The 13,230-nt window shown below is 33.8% G+C and overlaps 1 annotated feature.

Annotated features, from left to right (window-relative positions):
- Window positions 2,240-2,440: a silencer, noted in NCBI's record as "peak3961 fragment used in MPRA reporter construct". NCBI's record gives its function as "represses an SCP1 promoter by STARR-seq MPRAs in K562 erythroleukemia cells {active_cell/tissue: K562}" and the evidence as "EXISTENCE:reporter gene assay evidence [ECO:0000049][PMID:32103011]".

The following is a 13,230-nucleotide window of genomic DNA, read 5'->3' as shown; positions in this document are numbered from 1 at the left end:
ACGATAAGGAGTCAGACTATAAGAAAAAAACTATTTGTTTGTGTGCATGGAATAAACTCATTAAAAGTACACCTTTAGCAATATTTTATTACTAGAATGTGAGTATTTTGAACATTTTTGGAGAGTTTCAGCATAGGAGTGCTAAAGAGAAATATAAGCCATTTATAGGAGTAAGCACATTTATCACAAATTTGGGCAGAAAAGATGAAAAATTATATTTTATTAATAAGAAGGAATAATAACTTCAGTTAGCTGTTATTTCCTGAGAAACAAATACATATGTTACTCAATGGTCTATTCTAGAACAACAGGTTTCAAGCCTTAAAATTGGCCTCAAATTTTGAAAAAATTAAAGATTACAACTTAGAATCTCTCTCCCCTTCAGCTTCAAATACATAAGCTTTGCATGAAAATTTACCCAAATAATTAACATAACTAGTAAAATTTGGGGTCACCAACTTGAGCCCTTTGCAGCAGCAGTTGTGTGAGTGGGAGAAATGAGAGAACATTCCTAACGTGTCTCCCTCCCACTGTCCTTTCTTCCTGATAAAGGTCACAGAATTGTTTTAGTTTAGCTTTATGATAGACTGGGGTATAGACTGTCAGAGCTAAAAGAGATTCTTTTAGTCATCTAGATTCATTCTCTTACTTTATACAGAAGGAGAAACTGAGATCCAGAGAATTTAAATGACTTGCCCAAGGCCACAAAGCTAAAAATAGTGGGATAGGAGCTAGAAATTAAGAGCAGGGAGAGTTTTCTCTGTTAAATATTTGCTGTTGTTAGTTTAAATATGTCAGCCCTGTAAGAGATTAATTCAGGTAAGCCAGCTAAAAATACTTATACTTATTGTTTCTCAATATAACAAGGATAGAAAAAAATCTAGAGCATAGGAATGAAAAGAGAACTAGCCCATAGACCAGTGGGACACATCATATGTGCTTTGCTTTTTAAGCCTTTGGGCCAAAATCACACTTAACCATGATCTTGGTAACTAAAAAGGATCTTGTTCCTGGAGTGCTTGTAGAGACCTGAATTAGCATAAGATTCTTAGGAAAGAATTCATCTTTTGTTTGATATTGTAATGATTCTTGATCAGAAAGGCAAGCAAGCCTCTTTTATTGTTACAGACCTAATTATATTGCCATTGCAGTTGTAACAAATCCTTTGGAAACCTTTGACTCAGTTTTGAATGATTTTGGTATGAATTAGATGATCTAATGAGGTCCCTCCTGGCTCTTTCTTTCGCTGTGCCTACTGGTGCCAGCACAATGAACTTCACATGTATGTTTAAGGGAATTACAGTAGCCAGGAATTATAGAATTTCGAATTGTAGATGTATTCAACTTCAGAAATAACCATAGGAAGTTTATTCCAAAGTATTACCCAAATCATTCTTCTAAAGGTTTAAATGAAGAACACTCAAAAGCCAGTATCAGGACAGAACAATGCAGCTGACTTTGGACCAAATATTTGAGTGAGAGGTCTAGCTTCTAGTTTCCCTTTGACTCAGTTCTTTTTCCTACAACACATAAATCTGTATTGACTGTAGCCAGAGGATAAAAATTCTAATCTGCTTTCATAGGTAGGAGATTGATCAAAGGCTCCATTTGATCTTTGAAGTTTTCCATTTTGCTAAAAGATAAGAAAAAAGAACTCTACCTTTATTTCTGAGTTCTCTAGGAACAAATTTAGCTTGATATTATATTAAAACACAACATTTAAAATAATGGCATCTTCTTGACATTCCAGGGACATACTTGAAATAAATGATGCCAAAAGGAGCTAAAAATGGTGAAGGAAATTACAGAAGTGTTTGACTATCATCCAAAAGATTCTAACAGTTCACTCAAAGGAAAATTTCCCTCCACCCTGCAAGCATCTTAAGCCTCTGTAACAAAGAATGTTAAAGATTTTAATTGACTGACAAAATACAAACAAGTGGCAAAAACTTTTGACTTGATAGCTATACTGTTTTTATTTACATACTTGACCATTTTATCAGGAAAATACTAGGTTGAATATTTAAAAATCAGAAATAATTTATATATTATAGAATTTATTCTATTTGGACATAGCAAAGTTCATCAATTTTTTCTAGCAAATAGAACTGTGAATAATACTTTATGCTCCTTCTTATGAATCAACAAGAAATTTGACAAATTTCTATGCTCCTTTCCTCATTTTGGATATGACTCACTGCTCTCGATGTAACCTCGAAAGACCAAGAACCCCTGCTTTAAAGCAAGGAAACAAAAGGAAATGCATCTTTAATTCAAACTGGTTTACCCAGAGAATTCTAGTAGTTATTATTCACTGACTTCTTAAGTATGCATTATAAAGCTGAGTGCCTTAAGTGTCCTCTCTTCAACTTTCCCTGGGGAAATCAATGTAGAAAAGCTGGAGAAGAAAGCTGACTGATAAGTCCTGGACTTGAAGTTTATCAGCAGTTCTCCTTACCCATCCGTTATCTCTAGTAGGCTATTAGATGTTAGCTTTGAGAGGATTTTATTTTATTTTCAAGATTTTGGATCATCTTCCCTCCAAACCCCTCTGACTTTGCAAACAAAAAGTAATAGATCTGGGCTATTTCTCAAAAGCCTTTCTAATTTAAAACCTGACTCCTTTTCTGCTGTTTGACAACCACTAACCCCACTCCCACTCTCTCTCAGATTTAGAAAGTGCTGCAGAGATCAATTCAATACACAAATCTTAAAATCATCTAGAAAGGCCTGTGGTCTTTCAAACAATATTAAAATAAAATGGAAAAAAGAATATGGCATTCTAAGTAAAACTCCACTTACCCTTACTGGAAAATAAGAAAAAATAAATAAAAAGCTAAGGCCCCTTTACTTTCCCAAATCCTAGAAACATGTAGTCCCAAGAGAAACTGTTTCTTGGTTTAGAAGAGTTGAAGTTAAACAATGATCCTTTTTCCATTTCTGAAAAAAAAGAAAAATAAAAGGCCAGCAGAGGCAAATGCTCCGTCGGACAAATTGTTTCAGCAGATGTTCATTGTCCCAGGGAGAAAACAGCCCCTACTTTGCAGCTTAGCAATTGCACATTTAGAAGCTTAAATATTTTTAACTTGAAATGATCCATTTGGTATGAATGAGATGTAAATATTAAAATCATTTATATGAGCAAGTGGTAACATTTTACTATTAAAGTCCACAGAATGCTGGTGACTGTTGTTTGGACTTCATGTCATAATATGGTGATACAACAATTGTAGCCCATCTAAGCTTTTCAGCTACAGAAGCTGGGCTACAATCTAAGGGGTTTTAAAGTCATTTACAATGGCACCTCCAAATAATATTAATAATTATAGTAATATTTATAGAGTACTTATGATATACTAGGCAGTTACAATTATCCTTGAGGTAAGGACTATTATTATGCTCATTTTAAAATGTGGAAATTGAGGCTTAGGAAAGTTAAGTAACTTGACTAAATCACACAGCCAAGAAGTGTTGACACTGGCATTTGAAAGCAGGCAGTCTGACTTTAGGGCAGGGGTCAGCAAACCTTTGTTGTAAAGGTTGAGGTAGTAAATACTTCAAGTTTATAAACCATAAAATCTCTGTCTTAACTATTTAACTCTGTCTCTGGAGCACAAAAGTAGACTTAGACAATATGTACATGCAGGTATATGGCTCTGCTCCAATAAAACTTTATTTATGGACACAGAAATTTAAATTTCATATAATTTCCATGTGTCACAAAGTATTGTCCTTCTTTTGATTTTTTTCCAACTGTCTAAAAATGTAAAAACAATTCTTACCACACAGGCTATACAAAAACAAGTAGTGGGCTGGATTTGGCCCATAGACTGCGGTTTGTTAACCTCTGCTCTAAGCTCTTATTGATTATACTCTCTCTCCCTAGCAGTGTCTTTTTATAATGTTTTTTAATAGAACTATGTCTATAACCTTATCAAGTCATGTCAATCTTTCATAATATAGAATTCTTTGCAGAAATAGGATTGGCTATGTTATATTTACTGGGTTGACTCATATAAAATTTGTCAATATTGGGCTGTTTTGGCCTACACAAGTAGCAATTTCATAGGTTTCAACATAATATTTATAAATGTCTGTTGCCTTAGGAGGTAACAGTTTTTATTTTATTAAAGCTAATAAAGTATAAGCTAGTTACCAGGGGAACATTAAACTATGCAAGCATCACGTGTGGTACACTAGATGATCTTTAAGGTTCGTTTAGAGTCTTTTCTGTGAATGAATTTTGATAGCCTAGGCCTAAAGTTATGAAGAAAGGGGAACTTCATATCATTACATAATTTCTCTGTGACGAGTACTAAACTGTATTTGTGCATTTAGTTTCCATAATGACACTATTAGATAAATATTTTTATCCAGTTCACAGTAGAAGAAATCTAGGTTCATAAAGACTAAGTAACTTACTCACATTTGGAGAGCTAATAAATTGCAAAGTCTGGACTTCAAAGAACAAATGACTCCTCTTTGTTTTGCTTGCATAACAAAGGCAATTTCATTGCAATCTGTCAGTTACCACTAAGACTTTTAAGATAAAATTAATTTTTTTCAAAATCATCACTAGAAAATTATAAGGCAAAGTATTAGAATATCTCTCATTTTCAATAAACTCCAAAAATATACTCATACAATTTTTAAACATTTTCTATAGCTATTATTTGTATTGTTTCTTTGGAATTTTGTATGCCAATAAACCCCTAGTGAGCAAAATTCAATTTCTAATTTGAAGAGAAGAGGAATCATCTTTTGGTAAATAAAATCGTAGTAAGTTAAATGATTACTTAAAATTTATAGCTTTACAAAGTGAGAATTTTAGAGCATCAAATTTTTCTTCATATTTTAACACAGTAGTAGAACATTTAACAGGAAGATGCATGTATTTCTGCATATATCATGTAAACAAGGTTGGTCGAGGTGGCTCACACCTGTAATCCCAACACTTTGGAAGGCAAGGCAAGAGGATTACTTGAGTCCAGGAGTTTGAGACCAGCCTATGCAATATGGCGAAACCCTGTTTTTACAAAAAAATACAAAATGGTGGTGGTATGTGCCAGTAATCCCAGCTACTTGGGAGGCTGAAGTGGGAGGATCACCTGAGGCCTAGAGGCAGAGGTTGCAGTAAGCTGAGATTATGCCACTGCACTCTAGGAGTGAGCCCATGTCTCAAAAACAAACAAACAAACAAACAAAACAAACAGAAGCATTAAGGAAGGAAGGGAAGAAACTACAAAATAACATGAAATAGCAATATCAGAATATTAAAATTATAATACTCTGCTTCACTTATGCTTCTCATTCCCCTCCTAAAAAAGAAACTAATAGCTTCACCCCAGACCATTGAGTAATAAAATATAAAATAAGTAAGGAATTTTAAAGAATTCACTAGAGACAGATATTCACCAGAGGAAAAGAATTACTCTGAGTTATGGTTGCACTGGAAAGATACATTACTGCTTTTTTTTTTCCCTCTATTTTGTTTCATTTTTTCATTTCTTTTCATTTTTTCATTTTTTCTTGTCCTTTTCTTTTTATAGATGCTGAATAAATATCTGTAGAATGAGCAAATGATTATATTCTATAGAATGAAATATCTGTAGAATGAGCAAATCACTATTGAAAAATGATTTGGGCATGGAAATCCAGGAGCACAGTGATTCAACAGATGATTATTGTCTTGCTTTAATGAATCCTTCTTTATCCATTGCTTTTAGAAGCAATGGGGGAAATAATCCACAAGTCATTCAGACAAAGCACTATTTAGTTATACGCACAGCTTAAAGATAATGTGACCATTGTCATTTTACTGGTAATAATCAAGGAAGAGAAAACTGGATAATCCAGTCAGATCATGATTCCTAGACTTTAAATAGGCAGATTCCAGAATGTTCAATTAACAAATAGGTGTGATCTTATAGGCTAATATTATGAATAAAAGGAATAAAGTTACATGGGACTTGAAGACATTCTCAAAACAAAAATTCTGACCCATAATTATGTGTTTAGCCACAATCAGATATATGAGACCTGTAAAGCAGGGTTTCTTATTGACATTTGGAATTGAACACTTCTTTGTTGTGGGGGAGTGTCCATGTATTGTATGATGTTTAGCAGCCTGCCTGTCCTCTGCCTATGAGATGCCAGGAGTACTCCACCCCCTTGTTGTGACAACCAAAAAAACATCTTCACACATTGCCAAACTGAGAACTACTCAAAAGGAAAAGAAAGAGAGAGCAAGCACTCTGAAGTATTAGAAATGTCTACAGAAAACATGGAAATAGGAACATATGAGAAATAACACCACAGCAGTTGAGGAAAGGGTTAAAATTTCAGCATAACAAAAATTTTAAGGCAAAAAGAAAGGAATGTCCCTATGGGTATCAGAGCAAGATTGAAGATTGGTACTAATTGTATTTATATAAACAATAGAACAATTAAAATTATTGTAATATTTTGTATATATCTATCTCCTTCATTTAGGTGAATGATCTAATATTATAGGGAACATTTTTAGGAAAATAGATAATAAGAAAGCACTTTATTAATATATATATTGTTCTGAATTTCTAAACTTAGGTAAATTTCATACCAAAAGACTATGAGGGAAATTAGCAATCAAAGGCACAATAATGTTTTCAGAAATCCTTGAAACAACGTTCAAAAGATGACCCATAGGCTGAGCACAGTGGCACATGCCTATAATCGAACACTTTGGGAGACCCAGGCAGAATTGTTTGAGGCCAGGGGTTTAAGACCAGCCTGGGCTACATAGCAAGAACCTGTAAAAAAAAAAAAAAAAAGTACCATAAGATAAATAACCCAATTTCAAAAAAAAAAAGTAGGTAGACTTTTAAAAAAATTGATAAACTACTTAGTAAGGATCCCTGAAATAATTCTAAATTCTAGAACAATGAAAGAAATGCTGAGTGCCTGCAATAGGAGAACTGGTTATCAAAAAGCATCTTGAGTTCACTATAAATGAGATATGTCAAGTTAACCTCATACTTGACTGGATTTCTCGAATGGTTGATCAGAGTAATGCTATAGAGTAAATCCAGTGTATTCTATTGTCATGAAAAGTTTGCCAAAATCTCTTACACTATCTGTGTTCTTGCAGACAAATTTAAAAACCATGGGCTAGTTGAAACATGGCTTATTTACTCCACACCAAGAGCTAACCATTCCCTCCCTCTTCTACATATCCATCCTTGTTATAATGCTTTTGGGAATTTCTAAGGTTCCTCACAATAAAGTTTTAAAGCCATTAGATTCAATAAGCAATAAATGCCCTTATGATTTTATGGAATATCAATCACTATGTTCTACAAACTACCAATGAATGCAATTCAGTCTCTCCTTAATTAAGGATGAACAAAAATTGTATAGCCTAATTTCCATCCCAACCTAGATGGACATTATTCTTTTTACAAAATTTTTAATCCACAGAGAAGCAAATTAATATCACTTAATATTTATTAAACAAAAAATTTTCAGAGATGAAACCAAGGTTTTTTGTTGCACTACCAAATATTTCCTATGTAGGTATTTTATTAATGTCACAACCACTCTGCTATACTGACAAAGAAGAAACAGTGTGCTAGATATGGAGAGAAATCTACTTATAAGGTACCATCTCAGGCTGATTTTCAAACCACTCCACCCACCCCACACAATCACATGTCACCTTGCTCTAGCAGTGGCCAAAAAAAAAAAAAAGGACTAAGTAAAAATTTTCACCAGCATAGATATTTTAAGCACCATAGTACCAATAATATCAAGAGTACATTTTCAGGAAAAAGAGCACTTTTTGGCCAGAAAAAAAGTGAAGAAAAGAATGTAAACTACAACAGAATTGTTTAATTGCATCTTGCTTGGAAAGAAATGCAAAATCCTAACAAAACTAAAAATGGTAATATCACAGCAAGCATACATAGCCACAAACCACGCATTTATTTAAATGAGCTACTTCAATTTTACTATTATACGAATTAAAAATGCAGTGTAATGAATTTGTGAAAGCCGGTGGTACTGTGATTCTTTATTTTAATTAAAACATAAATAGTAAACTCAAGAAAGGAGACTCCGGTATGAAGAGTTAAAAATAAATGAATGGATTGCATGTTCATATTCAACTATCACTTCATTGACATTATTTCACATAATAGTTTCCTTACCAAAGTGTTTGTTCACATGTGGAAAACCCAAATCATATTACCAGATAAAGGCATGCTGCAATCATTTCTTTCCCGCATTAACTAGGGTTCACATTACACAGGTCATATTTATACTTAGGTGGCTTCAAACCCTGAACAAATGGAAACGTACCTAATGAGACAACAAATATTTGACCTGACTTGTATCCATTTTGGTGATCTTCCTTTTAAAGGAAATATGTTCCTAAAGAAACCCAGAAGTATGCAAGACAGGAGGTAAAATCTTTGAAAGAAAGGATAAATAACAGCTTTCAGCTAGGTTCATCTGCAAAGTTGGCAAGACCTGCTTTCAACGTGCAATCAATGTAAACTCCATGATGCTAAGTATAAGTTCACGAACTTGCAGAGTTCAACCTAAACCTATGAAAGCATGAATTCAAGAATGGGATGATGCTTTGACCTAATGAACTTAACTCATGGAGTCCTTTTCAACCCTTGCCCTACATTACACACAGTGAGCACTGCATTTGTGAGCCTGGAAGCTACTAATTTTGAATCAACAAATGCTGTTTTTCTTTTAATTCAAATGATCCAAAGTAAAAGAGAGAGAGAAAAGAAAAGGAAATGTTGCTTTTCTTCCTGAGCATGACAAATGCCTTTTTTTGTGTGTATCATACCTGTTAGTATACTCCATTAAGTGCAAGGACCCTAATTTTACCTTCATTGTTAAAGGAAAATCATCAAGAAAATAGTCAACAAAAAAGAGGAAAAAAAGATGCTGAAAATATATACAGGTGTGTTTTTTTAAGAGCCAGAAGTAACCAAGTTATACTTAGATACAAGATCAACTAATCTTTCTGAAGTTAACAAGCTATAAAGCCCATTTTGTAGTTGGAACCAAACAAGATTTGAAATCTTTCCTTTAAAGAGACATAATGATATTTGCTTCCAAAGCAATATCAATATTTCAACGCTAAGCACACTCACAACCTCTTGATTTACATATATTCACTACTCTGAAACCAACAACAAGCTCTAGAACCAGTCTCACAGACATCTATTATTATCTCTATCTCTTTTTCTCTTTTTTCTCAGAATCTTCAACTGGAAGAATATCAATGTGGCATGATCTTACATGAAACTCTGTCAAGTAATATCATTATTTTAGATCTACTCATTCACTCAACATAAAAGCATTTAAGTGATTTAGGAAAAGTTAAGCACAAGAAAGAAGGTAGCACTTTCAAATCCAAATCCTACCTGGTAAATTGAAATAGAACAACACTCCCAAAAGCCTTCTTGATTTGCTCTCCTCTCCTCAAGGGACAGCTAAATCACAGCAGCCTATATTCTTAAACCCTAAAAGAAAAATCAGGAAGCTTGATCTGCGCACATAATGGCCGGCATAATGTAAGAAAGCACTGTTTCTTGGCAACTAGAAAACAATCCTTTTCAATTAACTCACAGCAATTGGCCCACATTTGTTGTTAAACAGAGTAAAGCAAATGTTTTAAGAGCTGAAAGGAACCTGGTAATAACTCATCAAGAAAGTCAGATCAGTTTGTTCATTTTGGAAAGTATTTTTAATTAATAGACTGCTGACTCCAATTGCCTAACTCTTTGCTAAGAACATCTATTGACATACCTTCTCATTTCCTTGTAGCATATTCTTTACTTAAAACCCCAATCCCAAATAGTTGCATCTGTTGCTGCAGAAACACACTGGAAAAGTAAAAGGTAGTTCTAGCAAACCAGTGGTGTGCGATATTATCTTGAGTATTTTGATATCATATTTTGCTTTCTAAAATATCAGCTTAAATGTAGCTCTAGGTGCTCATTAGGATACAAAATTCAAAACAGTTGTATGTGATATTTATTATTCTCTTAGCTGTTAAAGACCACTTCCAGAAGGCACTAATTTTGGATGATATGTAAGAAGTTCAGCTGTGCTAGGTTGATTCTATGCTATCTTGACAGTTTTAAAAGATTTACATCCACATGAGAATTTAATGAATTTGGACAATCTTTTTAGGGTGCTGTGTATTCTCACATACATACTTGAAATTTCATATATCAATAGGGGTTCTTATGTGGACCCTTGTTTAAGAATCTCTGCTCAAGGAGGCAAGTCTCCTTGACTTGCCTAGATATTATACATAGATAATTTTTGCTATATTATACCTAGACAATTTTTGCTATTAATCAAACTTAACAATTGCAAATATATTATACCTAGATTATTTTTGCTATTAATTAAACTTAACAATTGCAAATGGTAAAGCTTTAACTATCTATTACGGTTATACCTCCCAAATGAGAAGACAACTTAAGATGCACAATTTCCATATCCAATCAAAACCAAATTAGATGATTTTTATCTTCATTACCCTTCCACTTTTCCAGGATTGAAGAAAAGTATATACCATGATGCTTTACCTCCAACAGCTCTTTTTTTTTCTCTCTTTTATCATCCAAATTTCCCTAAAATCTGTCCACCTTGTCTTGCTATCATTAATGAGCAATTCTTCTTAGGTAATATTTTAAACACATGTCCTTTCTAGGCAATAACTTAGCACAAAGCACTTTCTTTATTGGTGGGAATTTGAAGCAGTGTTGTAAACTGCTGAAGGTACTGTGTTTGGATAGACCTTGGGTAGACCTTCTGGCATCTTCAAATCATACTCTCTACAGCTGTGTACACTTTCCCTGGACAGAACTGGCTGGGCTAATTTTACAAGTGTTTCTTCAGTCTTAATACTGACTCTTCCACTTGCTAGCTCTATGACCTCACGCAGAATTTTTAAACACTCTGTGTCTCAGTTCCTTTATCATAATGTCAAATGAAGTTAATAATATTTACATCATAGGGTTGTTGTGAGGATTGACTAAGATTACATATGTAAAGCTTCTTTTAAAAATTTGCAGCAGATTATAAGTGCTCAAAATTTAGCTATATTATTAACATAATTGTTGTTATTATTAGTAGTTCTGAACTTGATAAATTTCAAGGTTCATTTCAAATTTAGGATTTCCAAAATCCTATATAATCCCTATGTAAAAATCTTAATGTAAATAAAGACTTTTGGTGTATATAATACAAAATTATTTTCTCTCCCTTTTTTACATGTTACTCCTTATTTATTCTTCTATACTTCTAGAATCTGGAGGTTTTATAAGCCTTTTTGCTAATAAAAGAAAATGCACAATTATTTTAAATGTGGAAATTTTTTTCTCTTTCTGAAAAATGCATTCATGTTAAACACATTGACTTAAATAATTTAACCAGAGGCATAGAGGAGTAGAAATTCTCTAAGAGTCTTTTCTTATGAGACATTTTATCTCATGCAATGTAATTTGTAAAAAAATTCATCAGCCTTTTCCTTACATTCTTAAAATGTATGGACCATTTGCTTTTGGTACCATTTTGGATATATTTTTAACCAACAGCTGCAAATCTTAACGTTTGAAAGGAAATGCATGCTTTTGTGTGTTCACCATAAACACAGTTCAGCCAAAGTGGAACATAAAGACTCCATCATCTGATCCTTTCCAGCTTAGAAGGCTGGTTTAATTTAAATCTCAGCCCAATCTATTACGCAGCTCTTGCAATCAATATACCACACCCATTCTGTGTCAGGAAATAATTCAACATTATTAATAAGAGACCAATAGAATCAGTCTTCTTTGATGGGACTGCATTTAGCTACTCAGCTAGATATTTATTATCTGCTTGGCACATGACTTTACCTCTGCCTTGTTCTTTATTTATGACAACCTTGATTTGCCCTAATATCTTGAAATAATTTCTGGTGTGGGGAAATCCACCTATGAAATCTGAAGAAAATGAAAGGACAATATTTGTTTAAAAGTGCTAAACTCTGGAAATTGTAACAGAAATTCTGGAAAATATCAACCTAGTGTCTGTCTTCCAGAAGATTGGGTGTAATGTGAAAGCAGTGTTGCATACACTTTTGGGAAACATAGATTCCTCATGACAAATTCTATAACCATCTAAGTCACAGACTCATTTCCCCTCTACAACTCAGAGAAACGCATAAAAGCATAGCATTGATTAGTAATTTTTGAATGACTTTATTTGTAATACAAGTAAAATGTTGAAATATAATTTATCATAGAAACATTAGCATGCAAATAAAAATAAAATCAGTACTCTTATACAAAAATATATGGAATAATCTGTCATGGGATTAGACTTAGTAAAAAACATGAAAGTCATAATCTTTTCACAGTTTATAAAATTTCAAGCCAGACGTTGAATCTCATGTTACACAAATTGATGAGAAATGTGCAAAATGATTCTTTTGGATAGTACTTAATGATGAAATACTGGGCTGCGCACGGTGGCTCACACCTGTAATCCCATCACTTTGGGAGGCCGAGGTGGGTGGATCACTTGAGGTCAGGGGTTCAAGACCAGCCTGGCTAACATGGTGAAACCCCGTCTCTACTAAAAATACAAAAAATTAGCCAGGTGTGGTGGTGCGTGCCTGTAATCCCAGTTACTCTGGAGGCTGAGGCAGGAGAATAGCTTGAACCCAGGAGGCAGAGGTTGCAGTGAGCTGAGATCATGCCACTGCACTTCAGTCTGGGCAACAGAGTGAGACTCTGTCTCAAAAAAAAAAAATTACAAAATACATCACAAAATGAAATATTTTATAGGCATTGAATAAACTAGAAATAAAAGCCTAGCAGATTATACTCAGTCAAAATAGAGCAGAGACAAACAAATTATTTCTAAGTTCTCCTTTTTGGAGATTAGAAAAAAATTAGGTTTAAGAAACCACTTGGATGCCCATCAGAAGGGTGTTGTTTCTATAATCTAGGATTCTAATTTTCAGACTTTACAAGAAATGCCCTGGGAAAATTTTCAAACATGCAGATTCTCAAGCCCCAGTTGTAGAAATACTGACTGAATATGCATTGAGGGAGGCTGACTAATCTGCATTTTAATAAGTGTGGGACTGACACACGTGGGCTTACGGCCACTGTTGAGAGCTACTGATCCAGGGAAACACAGGTAGCTTGGTGTGTCTGCTTCTCTAAC

This window comes from Homo sapiens, chromosome 2, assembly GCF_000001405.40.
Source record: "Homo sapiens chromosome 2, GRCh38.p14 Primary Assembly".
In the NCBI taxonomy this organism is placed as follows: Eukaryota; Metazoa; Chordata; class Mammalia; order Primates; family Hominidae; genus Homo; species Homo sapiens.
The sequence above is the reverse complement of the archived record's forward strand: the minus strand, read 5'-3'. Positions and strand labels throughout refer to the sequence as shown.